Genomic DNA, 22,802 nt, shown 5'->3' with positions numbered 1-22,802 from the left:
CAAGACTAAACTAGGAAGAAGTTGAATCACTGAATAGACCAATAACAGGCTCTGAAATTGAGGCAATAATTAATAGCTTACCAACCAAAAAAAGTCCAGGACCAGATGGATTCATAGCCGAATTCTACCAGAGGTCCAAGGAGGAGCTGATACCATTCCTTCTGAAACTATTCAAATCAATAGAAAAAGGGGGAATCCTCCCTAACTCATTTTATGAGGCCAGCATCATCCTGTTACCAAAGCCTGGCAGAGACACAACAAAAGAAGAGAATTTAAGACCAATATCCCTGATGAACATTGATGCAAAACTCCGCAATAAAATACTGGCAAACCGAATCCAGCAGCACATCAAAAAGCTTATCCTCCATGATCAAGTGGGCTTCATCCCTGGGATGCAAAGCTGGTTCAACATATGCAAATCAATAAACATAATCCAGCATATAAACAGAACCAATGATAAAAACCACACGATTATCTCAATAGATGCAGAAAAGGCCTTTGACAAAATTGAACAACGCTTCATGCTAAAAACTCTCAGTAAATTATGTATTGATGGGACATATCTCAAAACAGTAAGAGCTATCTATGACAAACCCACAGCCAACATCTACTGAATGGGCAAAAACTGGAAGCATTCCCTCTGGAAACTGGCACAAGACAGGGATGCCCTCTCTCACCACTCCTATTCAACATAGTGTTGGAAGTTCTGGCCAGGGCAATCAGGCAGGAGAAGGAAATAAAGGGTATTCAGTTAGGAAAAGAGGAAGTCAAATTGTCCCTGTTTGCAGATGACATGATTGTATATCTAGAAAACCCATTGTCTCAGCCCAAAATCTCCTTAAGCTGATAAGCAACTTCAGCAGTCTCCGGATACAATGTCAATGTGCAAAAATCACAAGCATTCCTATATACCAATAACAGACAAACAGAGAGCCAAATCATGAGTGAACTCCCATTCACAATTGCTTCAAAGAGAATAAAATACCTAGGAATCCAACTTACAAGGGATGTGAAGGACCTCTTCAAGAACTACAAACAACTGCTCAATGAAATAAAATAGGATACAAAGAAATGGAAGAACATTCCATGCTCATGGGTAGGAAGAATCAATATCATGAAAATGGCCATACTGCCCAAGGTAATTTATAGATTCAATGCCATCCCCATCAAGCTACCAATGACTTTCTTCACAGAATTGGGAAAAACTACTTTAAAGTCCATGTGGAACCAAAAATGAGCCCCCATTGCCAAGTCAATCCTAAGCCAAAAGAACAAAGCTGGAGGCATCACGCTACCTGACTTCAAACTATACTACAAGGCTACAGTAATCAAAACAGCATGGTACTGGTACCAAAACAGAGATATAGACCAATGGAACAGAACAAAGCCCTCAGAAATAATGCCGCATATCTACAACTATCTGATCTTTGACAAACCTGACAAAAACAAGAAATGGGGAAATGATTCCCTATTTAATAAATGGTGCTGGGAAAACTGGCTAGCCATATGGAGAAAGCTGAAACTGGATCCCTTCCTTACACCTTATACAAAAACTAATTCAAGATGGAGTAAAGACTTAAAGGTTAGACCTAAAACTATAAAAACCCTGGAAGAAAACCTAGGCAATACCATTCAGGACATAGGCATGGGCAAGGACTTCATGTCTAAAACACCAAAAGCAATGGCAGCAAAAGCCAAAATTGACAAATGGGATCTAATTATACTAAAGAGCTTCTGCACAGCAAAAGAAACTACAATCAGAGTGAACAGGGAACCTACAGAATGGGAGAAAATTTTTGCAATCTACTCATCTGACAAAGGGCTAATATCCAGAATCTACAATGAATTCAAACAAATTTACAAGAAAAAAACAAACAACCCCATCAACAAGTGGGCAAAGGATATGAACAGACACTTCTCAAAAGAAGACATTTATGCAGCCAAAAGACACATGAAAAAATGCTCATCATCACTGGCCATCAGAGAAATGCAAATCAAAACCACAATGAGATACCATCTCACACCAGTTAGAATGGCAATCATTAAAAAGTCAGGAAACAACAGGTGCTGGAGAGGATGTGGAGAAATAGGAACACTTTTACACTGTTGGTGGGACTGTAAACTAGTTTAACCATTGTGGAAAACAGTATGGTGATTTCTCAGGGATCTAGAACTAGAAATACCATTTGACCCAGCCATCCCATTACTGGGTATATACCCAAAGGATTATAAATCATGCTGCTATAAAGACACATGCACACGTATGTTTATTGCAGCACTATTCACAATAACAAAGACTTGGAACCAACCCAAATGTCCAACAATGATAGACTGAATTAAGAAAATGTGGCACATATACACCATGGAATACTATACAGCCATAAAAAATGATGAGTTCATGTCCTTTGTAGGGACATGGATGAAGCTGGAAACCATCATTCTCAGCAAACTATCGCAGGGACAAAAAAAAACAAACACCGCATGTTCTCACTCATAGGTGGGAATTGAACAATGACAACACGTGGACACAGGAAGGGGAACATCACACACTAGGGCCTGTTGTGGGGTGGGGGTAGAGGGGAGGGATAGCATTAGGAGATATACCTAATGTTAAATGATGAGTTAATGGGTGCAGCACACCAACATGGCACATGTATACATATGTAACTATCCTGCATGTCGTGCACATGTACCCTAAAACTTAAAATATAATAAAAAAAAATTGAAAAACAAAACAAAAAAACTTTAGAGTATGTGCTATGTGGCAATGAGGAGAATGTATATTCTGTTATTTTGTGTGGAGAGTTTTGTAGACATCAGGGCCATTTGATCGAGTGCTCAGCTCAGGTCCTCAATATCTTTGTTAATTTTCTGTCTAATATTGTCAGTGGGGTGTTAAAGTCCCCCACTATTATTATTTGAGACTCTAAGTCTCTTCAAGGTTTCTAAGAACTTGGTTTATGAATCTAGGTGTTCCTGTGTTGGGTGCATATATATTTAGGATAGTTAGATCTTCTTGTTGAATTGAACTCATTACCATTATGTAATGTCCTCCTTTGTCTTTTTTTAAATCTTTGTTGGTTTAAAGTCTGTTTTGTCAGAAACTAGGTTTGCAATCCCTGCGTTTTTTGGTTTTCCATTTACTTGGTAGATTTTTCTTCATCCCTTTATATTTTAGCCTATCTGTGTCTTTGCATGTGAGATGGGTCTCCTAAAGACAGCATACCAATGGGTCTTGGTTCTTTATCCAGCTTGCCACTCTATGTCTTTTAATTGGGACATCTAGCCCATTTATATTTAAGGTTAGTATTGATGTGTGGATTTGACCTTTTCATCATGATGTTAGTTCGTTATTTTGTAGACTTGTTTATGTGGTTGCTTTATAGTGTCACTGGTCTGTGTACTTCAGTGTGTTTTTGTAGTGGCTGGTAACAGTCTTTCCTTTCCATATTTAGTGCTTCCTCACTGAGGAAGCTCTTGTAAAGCATGTCTGGTGGTAACAAATTCCCTCAGCATTTGCTTTTCTGAGAAGAGTCGTATTTCTCCTTCACTTAGGATGCTTGGTTTGGCCAGACGTGAAATTCTGGGTTGGAATTTCTTTTCCTTAAGAATGTTGAATATTGGCCCCTAATCTCTTCTGGCTTGTAGGATTTCAGCTGAGAGGTCTGCTGTTAGTCTGATGGGCTTCCCTTCGTTGGTGACCTGCCCTTTCTCTCTAGCTGCCTTTAACATTTGTTCTTTCATTTTGCCTTGAAGAATCTGATGATTATGTGTCTTGAAAAAGATCTTCTTGTGAAGCACCTTCCTGGAGTTATCCGCATTTCCTGAATTTGAATATTGGCCTCTCTAGTTAGGTTGGAGAAGTTCTCATGGATGATATCTTGAAATATATTTTCCAAGTTGGTTCCATTCTCCCTATCTCTTTCAGGTACACCAAGCAATCATAGATTCAGTCTCTTTACATAATCCCGTATTTCTCCAAGGTTTTCTTCATTACTTTTCATTCTTTTTTGTCTATTCTTGTCTGCCTGCCTTATTTCAGAAAGGCAGTCTTCATGCTCTGAGATTCTTTCCTCTGCTTGATCTATTCTGCTATGAATATTTGTGTTTGCATTATGAAATTCTTATAGGGTGTTTTTCAGCTCTGTCAGGTCAGTTACATCCTTTATACTGGCTATTTTGTCTGTCAGCTCCTGCAATGTTTTATGATTTTTTTAACTTCCTTGCATTGGGTTACAATGTACTCCTGTAGTTCAGTGAACTTCATTCCTATCCATATTCTGAATTCTACTTCTGTCATTTCAGCCATCTCAGCCTCAGCTTGGTTCTGAACCCTTGTTGGGGAGGTGATGTGGTCATTTGGAGGAAAGGCACTCTAGCATTTTGAGTTTTCAGCATTCTTATGCTGATGCTTTCTCATCTTTGTGGGTTTAGCTACCTTCAGTCTTTGAGGTTGCTGACCTTTAGATGGGTTTTTCTTTTCTTTTATCCTATTTGATGATTTTCAGGGTTTGGTTGTGGTATAAGATGGATTCAGCCAACTGGCTTCATTTCTGGGAGATTCTAGGCAGCCAATGCTCAGCTCCCAACTCTTGGACCACCTGCTCTGTCTCTGGAATCTTGTATTGGGCCCTGACTTTGTTCTCTGGCTCCTCAAAATTTGGAGTTTACTGTACTTGGGGGACCAAGGTGTGGCAGCTGCAGCAGAGTGCTAGCAGATGTAAAGGTACCTGCCTGCCTGTGGATGTTGACCACAGTGGCAGAGGCAAGGTAGCTGGTGGACAGCAGGGGGCCCCTGCTAGATATTGTGTGCACTGTTGTACTGGAGATGGTGTTGGATTGGGGTGGGGTGTAAGCCAGCACAGGTCTGGGTGCCTTCTCTGTGCTCTGCTAGCAGGAGTGATTTCTCAAGGTGTGGGAGGATCCCCTGTTCTCTGCATAGTTATTAGGGCAAGGGCAAGGCACTGGCAGGGGAGGGGATTGCTGGCTTTGTGCCCACCAAGGATCCGTCTGCAATGGTGGTCAGCGGGGTTGGCAGGGCATACTGCACCCCTGTGTGCTGGTGGAGCAAGTAAAGCAAAACCTGCCCTTGTAGACATGTGCCAACAATGTGATGTGGGGAGTTTCTGTGGGCCCAGAGGAAGCTGCAGTATGAGAAGGGAATGTGTGGGCTGGTGTACAGCCATAGTGGCTGCCTCACTGGAGCTCTCCAATCAGTCAGGCATGGTCCACCTGCACAGAAGCCATGATGTGGGGCCCCAGGGCACTCAGGACTGCCCTGTAAGTGTAACCAGGCTGGGGGCCCAGGAGAGTCCAGCAACCCAAGGAGTGCTCATGTTGGACCAGCCCTATCTGATGTGCAAGACCGCTGATATGGCTTGGCTGTTTCCCCACCCAAATCTCATCTTGAATTGTAGTTCCCATAATTCCCATGTGTTGTGGGAGGGATGCTGTGGGAGACAATTGAATCATGGAGTCGTTTTCCCTCATACTGTTCTCATGGTAGTGAATAAGTCTCATGAGGTCTGATGGTTTTATAAGGGGTTTTCCCTTTTGCTTGGTTCTCATTCTTTCTTGCCTGCCACCATGTAAGATGTACCTTTTGCCTTCCGCCATGATTGTGAGGCCTCCCTAGTCCATTGAACCTCTTTTTCTTTATAAATTACCTCGTCTTGGGTATGTCTTTATCAGCAGCATGAAAATGGACTAATACAACTGCCCTGCAGAGATCAGGTCTGACAGTTCCCCTAAGGCTAAAGTCTCTTCTGGATCAACTTGAGCCTAGAGGGATGGCCTTCCCTGGCCATGCTCTGCTACAGACGTTCCTTCACCAAAGCCTCTGAGCTCCACATTAGCTGGATTGCTGCCCCACCACTTTGCTTGTCTTCTGGGGGCTCCACTCCAGAGAGATGTGAGTCAGCAATCACTCAGTGCTATCAGCCCAGGATGGAGGATCTGTGCTGTGGGCCTAAGCCACAGGTTCCCTGTGTGGTGATGAGCAGTGGAGGGTATGTGGGACCTGTGAAAGACAGACTGGCCTCCTCTCCCTGGGTTGACTGCAGTTCATTGGAGGTGTGGATAGGGCATTTGGGGTCTTTGCTCCTTCATTAGTCCAAAGGTGACCAGGACAGTTCTATTGCAGAGACAGTGGCAGAGAGACTTTCAGTTGCCCCTGGAGGCTCTGTCCAGGGAGTTGACGAGTTGCTACTGGCTTGAGAGCTCTGCGGGGGGTGGGTGGAGGCCCAGGCCTGGAGGACCTTCCCAGTGAGGAGATATGGGAATGGGCACCCATGTAATAGACTGACCACTTTTCCATAGGACTGCTGCGGTATGCTGGCGGTCCGCTCCAGTCCCTAGTTGACTCAGATTTTCCAGTACCTGGAGTTATCACTAGTAAAGGCTACAAACAGCAAAAATGGAAGCCTGCCTCTCTCCCTGGGAGCTCTGTCCCAGGGAGGTATGGATCTGTGGCCGGCCCGAACACATCTGTAGGATGTGGCTGGAGATGCCCAGTGAGGATGAACGGGATGAGGGGCCTGCTTTAAAAAGTAGTCTGGCCACATCTTTGTAGAGCAGCTGTGCTGTGCTGGGGGTCTGCTTCAGCCCCTAGTCATCTTGGACACTCCAAAGCCTGAAGGCTGAAACAGCTAAGTTGGCCAAACAGCAAGGATGGTGGCCCACCTCTCCCCCAGGTCCCTTGGAGTTCTATCCCAGGGAGGCACAATGCTGCTACTGGTGGATGGCTGGAATTCCAAGCCAGCGGGTCTTATCCTGTGAGGGGCTATGGAAGTGGGACCCAGAGACCATTGCTGCTCAGCCCTAGATTCAGTCTCTTTCCTAGGGATTTGTGTGGGGGTCTAACCTCCCACTTTTGTGGAGTTGCAGCTACTTTTGCTGGGAAGCCCAGAAAGCTGGAGTAGCTAAGGCTCCCAGGTCTCTGCATGTGCCTGAGAGGCTGTTCTCTCAAGACCCCACATGCCTCTATGTGTCAGACTGAGGGCCCTAGCAGAGTGGGTTCACAAGTGTATTTCCTGACCTGGGGGTTGCAAAGACCTGTTGGAGAAGCATGGGCTCCTGGGATTGCACATTCACTCACTGTTTCCTTGGGTGAGGGAGGTTCCCTTGGCTGCATGTCGTTCCCAGGTGGGCTGTCATCCTGCCTTGCTTTTCTGTTCTCCACGGTTCAATTTGTTTCATTAATTAATCCCAATGCATGTGTTAGGTTGGTGCAAAAGTAATTGCAGTTTTTGCCATTACTTTTAATACCTGGATGTTTCAGTTGAAGGTGCTGTATTTACTCACCTTTTCCATTCCTCTCCCTGAGAGCCACACACTAGCTGCTTCTAGTCGGCCATCTTGGTCACTCCCCCTTTATTTGATTTTTATATATGATGAGAAGTAGGGGGTCTAGTTTCATTCTTCTACATATGGTCATCTAGTTTTCTCAGCACCACTTACTGAAAGACTGTCCCTACCCCACTGTATGTTCTTGGTGCCTTTGTCAAAACTGGGTTGGCTGTGAATGCATGGATTTACATCTGGGTTCTCTTTTTTATTACATTGGTCTATGTATCTGTCTTTGTGCCAGTACCACACTGATTAGGTTACCATAGGTTTGTAGTGTAGTTTGAGGTCAGATAGTGTGATGCTTCAGGTTTATTCTTTTGATCAGGATTGCTTTGGCTAATTTGGTAACTTTAGTGATTCCATACAAATTTTAGGAATGTTTTTTCTGCTGTGAAGAATGACATTGGTATTTAATAGCAATTGCATTGAATCTATAGATTGCTTTGGATAGAATTGTCATTTTAACAATATTAATTTTACCACCTCATGAGCATGAAATATCATTCCATATTTTGTATATCCTCTTCAATTTCTTGCATCAAAGTTTTTTGTAGTTTCCCTTGCATAAATCTTTCACTTCTTTGGTTAAATTGCTTTCTAGGTTTTTTATGTTCTTTGTAGCTATTATAAATGGGATTGCTTTTTTTATTTCATTTTCCAATTGTACTATTGATTTTTGTATGTTGATTTTGTAACCTGCAAACTTACAGAATTTATCAGTTCTAATAGTTTTCTTAGTAGAGTCTTTAGGTTTTTCTAAGTTTAAGATTATGTCATTTGCTAACAAGGCTAATTTGTCTTCTTCCTTTCAACTTTGGATGTCCTTTATTTCTTTAGACAAAATGCTCTTTCCAAGGCTTCCAGTATTATGTTGAATAAAAGTGCTGACAGTGGGCATCCTTGTCTTGTTGCATATCTTAGAGGAAAAGCTTTCAGTTTTTCCCCATTCAGTACAATGTTAGCTGTTGGTTTGTCATGTATGGCTTTTATTATGTTGAGGTATGTTCCTTCTATACTCAATTTGGTGTGGGTTTTATCACAATAGAATTTTATTGAATGCTTTTCAGCATCTATTGAAATGATCATGTGGTTTTTCTTCCTGGTTCTGTTAATGTGATATATCATGTTTATTGATTTGCATATGTTGAAACATCCTTCATCTCTGTGATGAAGTCTCACTTGATCATGGCTAATGATCTTTTAACGTGTTCTTGAATTCAGTTTGCTAGTATTTCATTGAAAATTTTTGCATCTGTGTTCATCAGTGTAATTGGCCTGTAGTTTTCTTTTTCTGTTGTGACTTTGTCCAGTTCATTGATTTTTTTTTTAAGAGATACGTTTCACTATGTTGCCTAGGATACACTCAAACTCCTGGGCTCAAGAGATCCTCTCACCTTAGCCTCCTAAGTAGTTGAGACCACAGGCATGTGCTACTGTGCTCAGTTTGTCTGGTTTTGGTATCAAGGTGATGATGGCCTTGTAGAATGAGTTTGGAAGTGTTATCTCCTCTTCCATGCTTTTTAAGGAGTTTGAGTAGATCGGTATTAATTCTTCTTTACATGTTTGACAGAATTCAGCAGTGAAGCCATTAGATTCTGGGCTTCTCTTTAATGGAGAACTTTTTATTATGGCTTTGATCTTATTACTTGTTATTGGTTTGTTAAAGGTTTCTACTTCTTCATGATTTAATCTTGGTGGTTGTATGTGTCTAAGGATTTATCTCTTTCCTCTAGGGTTTCAAATTTGTTGGTGTATAGTTGTTCATAATAATCTCCAATTATTTGTATTTCTGTGATCTCAGTTATATCTCCTTCACTTCTGATTTTATTGATTTGGGTCTTCTCCCTTTTTTTCTTTGGTAGTCTAGGTAAAGGTTTATTGAGTTTGTTGACCTTTAAAAAACCAACTTTTTGTTTCACTGATATTGTGTATTTTTAGTCTTAATCTTATCTAGATTTTTGTATATTATATGTCCATTTCCATTCATTTCAAGAAATTTTTAAATTTCCTTCTTAATTGCTTCATTGACCCAGTGGTTGTTCAGCAGCATATTGTTTAATTTCCACGTGTTTGTATATTTTCCAAGGTTCCTCTTGTTATTGATTTCTAGTTTTATTCCATTGTGTTCAGAAAAGATACTTGTTATAATTTCTTTGTTTTTGAATTTAAGATTTGTGCCCTAAGATATAATCTAGTCTAGCAAATATTCCATATGCTGATGATAATATTGTGCATTCTGCAGAAGTTGGGGGAAATGTTCTAAAAATGTCAGTTAGGCCTAACTGATGTTTCTTTGTTCATTTTCTCTCAGATGATCTGTTCGTTACTGAGAGTAGGGTGTTGAAGTCCCCTACTATTATTGTATTGCAGTCTATCTCTCCCTTTAGATCTATTAATGCTTGCTTTATGTACCTAGGAGCTCTGGTGTTGAGTGCCTAGATATTTATAATTGTTATATCCTCTTGCTAAATTGACCCCTTTATCATTTTATAGTGACCTTATTTGTCTCTCTTTATAGTCTTTGATTTGTAGTTTATTTCATCTGATAGATATTATAGCTACACCTGCTCTTTTATAGTTTTCAGTTGCATGGAACATCTTTTTCTACCCCTTTACTTTCAGTCTATGTGTCTCTTTATAGATGAAGTGAGTTTTTTGTGGGCAGCATATAGTGGGTCTTGTTTCTTTATCCATTCAACCATTGTTTGGCTTTTAATTGGAGAACTGAGTCCATTTATGTTCAATGTTATTATTGATAAACAAGGACTTACTACTGCCATTTTGTTGTTTGTTTCTGGTTGTTTTGTAACTCCTATTTTTTCTTTCTTCCTTACTGTTTTCCTTCATCGTTAAGTAATTTTCTATGGTAGTATGTTTTAATTTGTTGCTTTTTATTTTTAGTAAAGTGATAATAGGTTCTTGCTTTGTGATTTCCATGAGGCTTACAAAAAACATCTTATAGATATCACAAGTTATTTGAAAGAGATGCCAACTTATCTTAGATCATGAAGAAAATAATATAAAAAAAGAAATAATGAAAAAAGTCCTCTATACTTTATTCTCCCCTAACCATTTTGACTTTATTTTCTATCAATTTACATATTTTTATTTTGTCTATCTCTTGTCAGGTTGCTGTAGGCATTATTGTTTTTGATAGATTTGTCTTTTAGACTTTACACTAGACTTAGGAGTGGATTGTACATCATAATTACAGTATTAGAGTCTGCTGGGTTAGTCCATGTACTTAATTTTACCAGTGGGTTTTATACCTTCAAATAGTTTTCTTTTGCACATTAGTGTTTTTTTCTTCTTCCAGATTGAAGAACTCCTTTTATCATTTCTTGTTAGACAGATCTAGTGTTGGTGAATTTTCTCAGCTTTCTTTTGGGGAATACTTTAGCACTTTTTCATATTTGAAGGATAGCTTTGCTGGATACAATATTCTTGCATAGCAGATTTTTTATTCCAGCATTTAAAAAATGTCATCCCTCTTCTTACTGGCCTCTATGGTTTCTATTGAGAAGTCTGTTGGCAGATGAATTGAAGCCCCTTTATATGTTATTTGGTTAAGTTTTATTTTTTTCTCAGTTTTCTTAAGATGGCTATTCTGAATTCTTGGTCAGAGTTCACATATTACCATCTTGTTAGGGTCAGTCACTCATTCCTTGCTTTGCCTATCTGAGGACGTTGTGATTCCCATTTTGCTATTGTTTCTTGTGCATGTATATCTATGTCTTTGCATTGAAGAATTATTTATTGCCATCTTCTCTGTCTGGCTTGTTTTTTTCTTTTTTATTGGATATGTTTGCTTATAGAGTCTTTGTAATTTTCTTGTTGATTTTGTTTTTAAATTTTTATTCCTGCTAGGTTGCTGCTGCTTACCTAGTACTAGATTGAGCCTTAAGCCTAGGTTTGCTTTGGTTCTAGGAAACATTCAGAATGCCACCCATCTAAAATAAGGGAGGTCCCAAAGGGGATATCCTAGTAATGTGGGAAGGCTGGCTTTTGCACAGAGGACCTGTGGAATGGAGCTCCTACAGCACGATGCTGCTGAACAACCTCTGTGACTTGGCATCTCCTTTGGTTGAGTTACAAAGAAGTTTCCAGGGCTGGGAATGGTAGTCCCACTTCCCCCTTTGTCTCTGGCTGTCCTGAGGGATAGTCTCCCTTCAGGTACTGTCAGTGCTTCCTGTGAGTTGAGGCAAGGATAGATCTCCTGCCTGAGAACCCAAGATGGTGGAGAAGCTGATTGTTCACCTCACTCTGACTTTTTTTTCAGTGTAAAAAACCATGAATCAGGGAGAAATTTTTTTGTGTACTTGGTGCTGGGGGGCAGGGAGCAGCATAACAGGTGCTGTACATATGGAAGCCTGATTCTCTTAACATCTTCTCATAGTTTTTTCACTTCTTTGTGGCCCTGGGAACTGTCTCATCCTCATATTTGAGTTCTGGAACTTTGTTGGTGATAATCTTGGCACTGTATATTTGATTTTGGGTTTCTCCGGGGGACAAGGAAATGGAGTGAAACCAGCTTGTTTTGATGCTACATTTGAAACCAGAAGTCCTCTTGATTTTTTTTTTTTCTGAACAAAAGTTGGCCATTCGGACTTAAAATATCTTGATCCAGAGTTGAGTGAGTGTCAATGAATCGAGATTGGACATAGGGCTGGATGAAGTCGGGAGGAGTCGTTTTTGTTGTTGTTTTTAACCTTCTGTATCCAATTTGAAGTATGCTGAGAACTTATCCTTTATAGAGGCATGTGTTTTATTTACAGTCGTTGTGAGAAGAGTGGAAGTGCAGGAAGAAGCAAGTGAGGCTTGGCTGAAGGCTTCTTCACAGTGGATGAGAAAGTTAAAGAAAGTTCTTTCAATTTAGGTTCTATGGGTGGTATATAGACTGGAAAAAGGCAATGTGTATATGTATATGTGAATGTGCAAGTGTGTGTGTGTGCATGTGTGTACCTTTTGTGAACTGGAACACTAGGACATCAAACTACCTTACTTTGGGACATCTTGGACATTGAGAAACACAAAGAGAGGGAATACTTTGTTATCACCTCCAAACTGCTACTGCCTAGATAAAATGAGAAAGCTCTGTGCTTTGGTTGGCAGAAGTGGCTATTTAAATTGGAACCCCCTTTTTTTCATAGTTCATGCTTTGTGTGAACTAATATAAAATTTACCAGAAATGTAAACGAAGGCTACACATTAATGGGTGGTTGAGCCTGCGACTAATATTTTTTAATGCATGTGAGCATTCCTGAGGCTCTCAGAAATATTTTGGGACGTGAACTTTTTAAAAAACCAGATAAAGAGAAGAGGGACTCAGGGCCATTCTAGTTTGGCTATTAAATGTTAATATGACTTGAGTTGTACTCATGGGATGGTGACTTACTGGTTTTTGCTTTGTTTGCAACGAGCTCTTGCTCTGTTGCCCAGGCTGGAGTACAGTGGTAATAATAGCTCACTGCTGCATTCAACTCCTGGGCTAAATTGATCCTCCCATCTCAGCTTCCTGAGTAAGCTGGGACTACAGGCATGCACCACCATGCCCAGCCAATTTTTGTATTTATTTATTTTTTTGTAGAGACAGGATCTCACTATGTTGTCCAGGCTGATCTTAAACTCCTGGCCTCAAGTAACCCTCCCACCTCGGTCTCCCAAAGCTGACATACTGGTTTTTATGTGTGGGTGTATTACCACATTATGTGTATTTGGAAAATAAATATATAACATGTATATCACTTTTTTTTCACAATGGCATACTGCTGTGTTAATCTGCTTCATTTATTCAACAATATGCCATTGATATAGTCTAACAGTCGATGAAAATTTCTAATAATAATCAGAAAGAATTAATACATTTGAAATTTTTAGGTATTCACCCACTACTAGTCTGTCTGATGAGGCCCAATTTCCTTAGCAGGGAAGTTTCCAAACATTTAAATATGCAAATGTATAAAGGCAAATGAGATATCATTTAATTTGTTTATTGTCTTACAGTGAAAGAGAGCAAATGAGCAAGTTGATGCCTTTATGGCAATTATTTTTAGTATGATTTCTTTTGTGCTAAGGTGTAGCTGAAGGCAAACCTCAAATTCTAGCATGAACATGCAGCAGCAATAACATGAATATTTTAGGGGCTATGCGATTCTTTTTGTGGGTTATGGTTGGAAATAAAATTTTAAGTTACAACTCCTTTGGCAAATGTGTAATAAACTACTGGGACTAAGTCAGAATGTGTTTAAGTTCTCAGCCTCAGACCTGTTTCTATGAGACCCAAGTCCTGGGTGTCCAACATTTTCCATAATGTGACCCTCTTTCCTATTATTCTAGATTAATCTTTTACCATTCACCCCACTTAATACAACCCTGCACCTCCCTCTAGTCATATGAACTTACCTGAACAGGACATGTATTTTCATAGTTAAGGAATGTGACCAACTATCTTAAAATACCAGGGCCAGCAAACCTGCAATACAATGGCAGCAGCAGTGACAAACTCAGAGTGACTGGCTGTGCTCAAGAGCAGTGGCCCACACGACTTCGGTCATGGGTTTGATCCGCACCATGGCAGCTCCATTTCTTCTGTGCTTTTCTACCACACTCCACGCTTAACTTCACCTAGTCATCTGTAGACTGGTTCTGTTGGTCAGAATGGGGGCCACATAAAAGCCCTGGCTTCAGCAAATTTCAAAGCCCTGTTCCAATGAACAGTCATGGAAATTCAAAGGGAGATGTTATTATTCTTGAGGAGAACTAACCAATCTCTGTACTAAACCTATTTAAGGATGTTTTCACCCTTCCAAAAAAGAAAACAACAACAAAAAAGTACAGAATGTCTGTGTTTAAGGCATTTCAAGAATTAATGAACCTCATTCTCTTGTTCTTACCCAAGGCACATCGCTGCTTAAAACCACAAAGTGCTGACCTAGCCAGTGGTTCCAGAACCCAGGGCCTCAGCACAGCATTTTAAAGCCTCATCCTCACAGTAAATTACTATTTTAGTGATAGTCCTGGTAACATATGGCAAACGGAAAACACTTTCTGTAGATTAAACAACGTAGTTTTCATTAATGGTTTACTATGTACTTGAGACCTTAAAGAGATTTAACTAATTCTTCATTTGGTACAGTTGCTGCTGAATTATTTAAAACATCTCTTTCCTGCTTTAACTTAGAATTTGCATTAGAAAGTATAATACCAATTAAGACTCCTCCATTGCCTCAAATGCTCTAAAAATAATTGCAAATGAAATCCTAATCACACATACATTTCTTTCCCTGTGACCTCTCGGTTATTGTAAGTTTAAGCAAAATAAATGAACAATACACAGAATTTGCAGACGAAACAGCCAGAAGGTTAGGAAATTACTTATTAAGGTAACGAAAAATTAAAGACTAGTGGATGGCTTTTTGAAGTGCCGGAGACATGTGGTTCAGAGTTCTACATTTAGGTGGAAAACTCAGTGTTTCCATTTGACTAAGATATGTTGAATTATCTCCAGAATTACATAATGTAAAATATAAATGTAACAACTTACACTTATTTACAACCCCAAATTAAAAATGGCGGCTCAGTTGGCTGATTTGAGTTTTATTTACTATGATAAATAATCAAAAGTGAAAATTGGATGCCAGGCATAACTTTGGCTGACCATGTCTTGTTTGCTTATTTTTTGCTTAGCTTGTGTTTCTCTTGCCCCCTCTCCACTTTCTCCTCATGGTATGAAGTTTAAATATTGACTTTAAGCCTGTCTCAGAGGACTTCCTCAAGGTAGACCCAAACTATATCACATTCCTCATAACTACTTCTCTGGTTACCTTCCTAAAGGCAACGTCTACCTAGAATATCTGCTTCTCGCTGCCACATGTTCCTTCCATTCCATTCCATGAAGTCTACTTAACGAGCCCCTTCAGTAGAGAAGTTCTCAACGAATCCCTTCTGGATCCAGGCATTCTGATTACTGTATTATGACTGTGCACTCTACCCAGGTACATGTCAGCTTTCCTAAAATAGTCTGCAAATCTTGTTTTGAGTTACTTTTGTGTTACGACACATTTTCACTTGGGTACATGCCGGCAGATTAGTACACTGTGCTTACCATTTACCACCGAAGAAACGATACTGCTGGACAACAGGGAGCTTAGAATATCAATTTGAATCAGAGTGCCATCTACTGGTACAAATGCTACAATACTATCAGCAGGATTACATGATGCTCGATAAGCATTCAATATGTTTACACCCACACATACACATGAATTGTTCTCACAGTTTGATTAAATAATAAGGAATATGCTATATATATAAAATGAATACTTTGCTATCACCTTTAGTAATATCTATGTTTTTGAAAAACATACAATGATGACATGAGAAAATATTTCCATTTGGATCCTCTAAACAAAACTGTCATCTCCAAAAGATGGGTGTGAATTCTGGACTATTCCCTCTGGTTATTTTGTAACTTAGATTTTTAAATATTTATTGAAAATCATATTTGAAATAAGGAACTGAAACAATGTACAATGAAATGTCTAAATGACATTAAGTTCCTAAACAAGTAGCATTGTGTTGTGAAGAAAACTAGTTTTTGTTTTTATTTAAATCCAGGAACTTAGTTCTTTTATAAGGTGAGCCATCCCTACAGGACTGACTACACCTTTATGTCACGAATGGCTGAGAAAGCGTGATTTCTCAGCACAAAGGAATGTGGAAGGACTTTATAAAAGATCAATATTAAAAACATTTAATCTCTGCTTGTCAGGGTAACATCTTAGCCTATTAAATATTTTCTCAAACCCTTTAATAAATCCAATATTTTTACTCATTCTAAATAAAATTTCCTTGTGGGTAGATTTAAATAAAATGCATAGAAGTACGTCTGTAAATTAAGAGAAAACTTTTTTGCGCTCACATAGAGGCTGATTTGGATAGCATGGAATCATTGGCAACCAAACAGATGCCCTCATCTATAGCCCAGAGACAGCTCTCAGGTGTACAGAGAACATTTCATTTCCAACAGAGAGGTGAACTTAGAACTTGTCACTGATTTTTGCACCCTCTTAATCTTCCTGTTTATTCTGTGCTTCATTAAAGTCAATCTCCACAGGGCAGACTGTCATCTGAGCCCGGCCTGTCCTGCTGTCTGCTCTCTCCAGAGAGCATCCTTCATCCTGATAAACAGGCTGCGAGCTGGACATGTGACTGAGCTCCTTAAGGTAAATAGACTACAGAGAGTTGTTCCTTCCATGCTGGCTCAACAGAATTTGATAAGCAGAATCATTGACGTGTGCATCATAGTGGAGACAATGCTTTTCCAAAAGATGGGGTTTCAAAGTTACTGTTGTGAAAGAAATAGAGGATATTTATGTTTATCTTTGTGTCACACCATGCCTTTAAACGCTGTATTAGCTAGTGTCATTCATCTGCCAAGTGTCTCCCTCAGGATTCAGCATCATTTATAGAATGTCTTTGCATGCCAGTTCTGGGCTAGGCACTGAAGATGTAAAGACTTATATGGGGAGGGAAAATGGTGGCCATGGTAGGAAACATAGCAAAGCTCTCTTGGGAAGCCATAAAGCATGCCATATTAACAATGCCAGCCTGTGTGCTGAGTGTAGGGTGTGCCTGTTTGTTGGACTCGCAGATCATGTTATTCCAGAGCAATTGCTTTATCTGGATGAAAGGGCAAAACCGGGGCCTGAGACTGGTTTCCAGGCAGCACTGTTCACCATGTCTCATGTTGACAGATAAAGCACAAACTTACCTCTGAGGATCCATGGCTTTCTGTCTTACCTATTAAACCAGACCTCGACCAGACTCTGGGGAATGAAAGTCTAATCTCTCAGGTAGAAGGGCTTAAAGGAATCTTATATCCCTGAACTGAGGACAGTTAAGTTTCTATGACCACCAGCTGAGTACTGGAATTACTTTTCCAACAGCTGGATGATGGGAACTCTGAACAAGATACCCCAAGTGTCATGGCAAGGGTAAAGCCTCAGATTGTGGGTGGCCCCATAAGAAGTGGGGAGCTTTCATCCCAGTTGATCAGGGCAAGGAAGGTCTGTGTTTGACAAGTGGAAAGCATTGTAATGAAACTTGTTCCTACTTAGCTGAGAAGGAGGGTGTAGTCACGGAGGACTCTCAGCCAGCCCAGCCCAGTTTTCTCAGTTTATGAGAAACAAAAATCCAAGAAGTGTCCTGATGGTTGTCCCTTCTCAATAACTACTGCAATTTCTGCTTGGGAGGCATAACCAACAACAAGAAAACCAGGACAGCTCTAGGAGATGGGTCACTGCAGGCTCCAGGCCCAGGGCAGGGCATCAAGGGCAAGGGCTGCAACATCAGTAGGGCTGCCATCCTGTGCACATCCTACCCATCTTCAAAGCTTAGTGTAACCAACTACTCTCCCTTTTAGCTCTCCCTTCCCTCCCTGGACCACATGCAGCTCTCCCTCTTCTGATCTCCTCTTACAATGTGGTACAATTAAGCAATTTATTATATTAGTCTCATAGTCTAATTGTTCCTTCTATGTTGTGTTACCACAATGAGATCACAATTGTGTCTTTCATTTCTTTGAAATCAGAACACACAAGATCAGATATGTGGTAGGTATTTAATACTTAACCTAAATTAGAGAATCAGAAAAATGACTTTGGGGAAACATTTATATAGCTTCTGCCTTTAACACAATAGAAAACAGATCCAGAGAACTGCTGCTCTATTTGTTCTACAAGCATCTAGTGAAACTTCCAAGCCACTGTGCTGGGTGCTGTAGGGGGAGACAGAGATGCCCAAGAAAGGAGCACTGGCCTCACAGACCTTTCAGTGAGGCATGAGAAAGAGTACGTGTGCACCAGTTATCAAAGATGGAAACCCATGTGGAAGGTGAAAACAAGGCTGTGGAATCTCAGGTGAGGGAGGTAGTGGGTCAGCTGAGAGACTCAGATGATTTTATGGAGACAGTGGCACCTGAACCCAATCTTGAAGGATTTGATATGTGGGGTTTGGGGAAGAGTACCCAAGTTTGAATGCATTTTGGCCTTTACCAAGCTTTAAGTCCAATTTAAAACCAGACCACAGAGTCATATGTGCCAACTGTGATTGTGGCTACAATTCATGCTGAGTGCTATAGTTTGAATGTTCCTCCCTGACCCACCAAAGTTAACATGTTGAAAGCTTGATTCCCAAAGCAATGGTGTTGGGTGATGAGGCCTAATGGGAAGTGTTTGGATCATGGGGGCTCTGCCCTCATGAATGAATTAATGCGGTTATGGCAGGAGCATGTTCCTTATAAAAAGACGAGTTTGGTCCCTCTCTCTCTGTCCTTCTACCATGTTATGACACAGCAAGAAGGCCCTGGTCAGATGTCAACACCTTGATCTTGGACTTGCCAGCATCTAGGAATATGAGACATAAATTTCTGCTTTTAGCCAGTCTTCTCAGGTATGCTATGTTATAGCAGCGCAAAACAGACTAAGACACTGAGCCTCCAGAGGGCTTACTGAAAGAACACTTTGATCTGCCTGAATTGGAGCTCTTCTTGATGTGGCCAACCCCAGCTCCCCCATAGAAAGAAAGCTGCCTCTCTTCTTGTTTCTAAATTTCACTAGTCCCCTATTATCCACACCCCACAAGTGCAGGGAAGCTTCCAGTCCCACTCTCCTTTGGCAGAGTCAGGCAGAGACAGGGCACTGACCCCACCTGGTCTCGCCCCAGCACGTTAGACCGTGTGTTTACTCTACCTGCTGCAGTCCTGGCCCCCACTCTATTTTATGTAGGGTTCAAACTGTGCTCCTGGAGTCTGGGCATGAGTGCTGGCCACTTCTCTCTCAATTCAGCCCATACTCTGCCTCTAGAGTTTGCACTTCATCTGGAGGGATGCCAGGTGGAGCCTATTTCTGAGAAAAGCCACAGTGGTTGAGCAGTTCAGACAGCACAGACAGGAGCAACCTAGCCCTCTGCAGCTCAGACCTCTCCTCTTAATTCCTTACTCTTCCTTGGGGTTGGCTTTCCACAGCCCTCCAGCCTGAACAGCAGGTTCCAGACAAGTCAGGACACCCTTGTTTTCTCTCCCTGATGCTGCCTGGAACTCTGTCCTGCCCCACCTCTAGGAGTAGCAGCTCCAGCCTTGTTCTTGATTCTGCTCATCTGGCTCACCCTCACTGGGCATCTCTAGTGGCCAAAGAAAGTCTCCACGCAATATCCTTTTTTTTTATTTCTGTTTGCTTGCTTTTATCTCCCTTTTCTTATTCCCTTAGGATTTAGAGGGAGAGGAAAAGCATGAGGGTGCCAGGACAGCAGTATGGGAGGCACAGAGGAGTACTGGATAATGCACTGCTTTTTGCAAACTCAACTTAGAAGACTGCCCAATCAACTTGCTATTCTTTCTTCTTTCTAGACATGAGTCTTCAGTCTCCTGCCCTCAGCTTAGCTGGAAGCTGGATGACAGCCACATTAAGAGGCTTTCTGCAAGTGGCTTTTGGATGAAAAGGGGGCCTCTCAGGTACTCCACTCTCACGTTGCAGGCTCTGCAGCAGCTGGTCTATCTGGTGGCACTGGGAGTAAGTAGTATGGGAGACCCCTCCATGCCGGGGTCCCCTGGAGTGTCCTCCTCATAGCGTGAGGGTTCTTCTCAGGGATACTGAGGATAATTCACAATGGCTTTGTAGTTGCAATATTCTTTTTTTATTTCTTAAGTTTCTGTGTCCCAAATTTTAGTACAAATAAACATTTATATACATGGCAAGAAAATATGATCCATGCTAATCATTTAGTAAATGTGTGATTTCTTGTGATTTCACCTTGTCTAGTGTCACCCTCTTTGAGGCAGGGCAATCAATCAGGACATTAGCCATTTACTCTCCCTCACCTTCCAGCTACTCCTCACTCTTATCATCCGACTTTGAATGGGAGCCTCGCTCCTTCACCCTGAGCCGTCCATCAAGACCCAGCACTAGGGCCAGGTCTGGTGACGGTGGCCAGACTGCTCACACTGCTGCCCCAGAACATCCAGGTACTTTTAAACACTACTTGCTTAGGGCTTTCTGTGGCGTTGGACTGACTGAAAAGGCTAGGGGGGTGGCCATAATTGGTCCCACAGGCTTAGTATTTGAAAGTGTGGGTAGTAACCTCTAGACTCCCGGCCTGATGATGCGAGAACCTCAAGCTCTGAAAACTGGTGGGTCCAGGACAGCCCAGCTCCCGGCCAGTCTGATTAGGTGGGAGGGGAATAGAACAGGATCCCACCTGGTCCTTCTCTACCTCCATCCCCAGAAACCCCATCAGGGGTTGTTAAATATCTCAGATTAGCTCACCAATAAGTCTCAGGATATATTCACTGGCGAAAATGGCATGAAATGCACAGACATTAAGTTCTTAATATTTATCTTCTCCAAAGGGGTTTAACATTACTAAAAACTGAAAATAAACTCAACATAGCTTGCATTTTAGAAATGGTCCTGTAGATGTGTGATAAAGATGATCCTTTTCAATCTGCTAAGCAAATGTTTTAGAATCTGTGAACCCAAGGCTAATTCAGCCAGAAAGCGTGTTCTGCAGATTGCAAGCCTTGGCTCCCTCTAGTGGCCCTGACTGAGCCTTCGTTCCCGGCTTAAAATGCCCAGGACTTAAGAACTGTATGGGGATTTCAAAGCTCAGCTCAGCTAGCACCTCTTCCTTTTAATGCTCTGGTGACTCTTGACTACATGTATGTCCTCCCAGTATGAGCAACTTTGTTATTTTCTGTTGCTAACAACTAGCATTTTTTATATTCAGTTTATAAGTGAATTGTTTCTTGTGTATTTTCTTTCCCCCCAAAAAGTCACAATTGTGTCTTCGAAATGGGAAACACAGTATCAGGCATACAATACTAGCTAATACTTTAAATTTAGGAATTATAATATTAGAGTTAGTAGAAATGTTTGTATGTTAAGAAAGCTTCTCCTTTCACAAAATAAGAAACAGATCCGAGAATCACTGCTCTGTTCATTCCACGAGTGTCTGTCAAGTGAAACTTCCAAGTCACTATGCTGGGTACCATGGAGGAGACGGAGACATTCAGGAGATAAGCCCAAATCTCATGGACCTTTCAATGAGGCATGAAAAAAAGGACAGGTGCACCAATCATCAAAGATAGAAACCCCTAAGGAAGGTAAAAGTAAAGCCTGAGGGATCTCAGGTGAGGGAGGTAATGAGTCAGCTGAGGGACTCAGCATGGTGTTATGGAGAAGGTGGACCTTGACCTTGGCTTTGAAGGATGTGTAATATTTGATTATGTGGAATAAGGGGAAAGTGTGGTGGTGTGAAAGCACATCCAGGGAGGGTACTGTAAAGGGAGAATATCAGAAACTAAGACATGAGTGCCTTAGGGTCAAACTACAGAAGGTCTTTTTATTTTATTTTTATTTAAGAGAAGATCTCACTCTGTTGCCCAGGCTGGAGTGCAGTGGTGTGATCATGGCTCACTGCAGCCTCAAACTCCCTGGGCTCAGGTGACCCTTCCACCTCAGCCTCCTGAGTAGCTGGGACTACAGGTGCACACCACCATGACAGGCTAATTTTTGTATTTGTTGCAGAGATGAAGTGTCACCATGTTGCCCAGGCTGTTCTCAAACTCCTGGGCTCAAGCAATTCTCCCGCCTCAGCTTCTCATTTACTTTAGTTTCTTAAGAGACAGGGTCTTGCTGTGTCACCCAGGCTGGAGTGCAGTACCATGATCGTGGGTCACTGGAGTCTTGACTCCTGGGCTCAAGCAATCCTCCAACCTCAGCCTCCCGAGTAGCTGGGACCACAGGAGCATGCCACAATGCCCAGCTAGTTTTTATTTTATTTTATTGTAGAGACAAGGTCTCACTGTGTTGTCCAGGCAGGTCTCAAACTCTTGGGCTCAAGCGATCCTCCCACCTTGGCCTCTCAAAGTACTGAGATTATGGGTGTGAACCACCATGCCTGGCCTACAGAAGGTCTTGAATGGCAATGAAGAAGCTTGTATTCTGTTGAGCAGGAAGCGGGACTGGAGGAAGAAATTGTAAAAATTCCAGCTTCTTGAATATGTATTTGGCTCCTTTTAAAAAAATGGATTCTCCATCCAGCTGTCCATTTATCATTTATAGAGAGATTAATATAGGAGATTCTGGTGGGGACTAGATATCTGCTAAGTTTACTTCTTAATCGATATTACATGATTGGGATTTTTGAGCCATAAATTGACCCTACATTATAGGAGGGAAGACCTTGCATTTTTTTTGTACTTAGTAGGTGCTCAATGAAGGCTTCCTCAATTAACAGATTACATGAACAGGGTTGTGTTTCAGAAAGAGGAATTTGGCAGCAAGGTTTAAACTAGATTGGCAAGAAGGGAGAGACTGGATACAGGAAGGCTGCTTAGGACATTATTACTCATTTTCAAGGCCTAAACTAGGTGAGTGGAAATAAGAGTTGAACGAAGA

At 41.2% G+C, this 22,802-nt stretch overlaps 1 long non-coding RNA gene across 4 annotated transcripts in view, besides 1 other annotated feature; it reads left to right on the top strand.

Annotated features, from left to right (window-relative positions):
* The window catches only part of LOC105370832 (uncharacterized), a 126,090-nt gene that overhangs the window by 93,343 nt on the left and 9,945 nt on the right, over nt 1-22,802 (top strand). The window contains exons 1-4 of one of the 4 annotated variants that reach the window (XR_007064651.1): nt 11,281-11,980; nt 15,181-15,341; nt 16,463-16,571; nt 19,754-20,106. This is a non-coding gene — a long non-coding RNA (uncharacterized LOC105370832). Of the gene's footprint in view, nt 1-11,280; nt 11,981-15,180; nt 15,342-16,462; nt 16,572-18,222; nt 18,799-19,753; nt 20,107-20,231; nt 20,369-21,312; nt 21,808-22,802 lie in introns of those variants that run through there. The other 3 variants (XR_007064650.1, XR_007064652.1, XR_007064649.1) reach the window with 3 other exon arrangements.
* Nucleotides 20,769-21,063: an enhancer, noted in NCBI's record as "tiled region #15328; K562 Activating DNase unmatched - State 12:CtcfO". NCBI's record gives its function as "activates a minimal TATA promoter and a strong SV40 promoter by Sharpr-MPRA in K562 cells {active_cell/tissue: K562}" and the evidence as "EXISTENCE:reporter gene assay evidence [ECO:0000049][PMID:27701403]".

The sequence above is a fragment of the Homo sapiens genome, chromosome 15, assembly GCF_000001405.40.
Source record: "Homo sapiens chromosome 15, GRCh38.p14 Primary Assembly".
Lineage (NCBI taxonomy): Eukaryota > Metazoa > Chordata > Mammalia > Primates > Hominidae > Homo > Homo sapiens.
The sequence above is the reverse complement of the archived record's forward strand: the minus strand, read 5'-3'. Positions and strand labels throughout refer to the sequence as shown.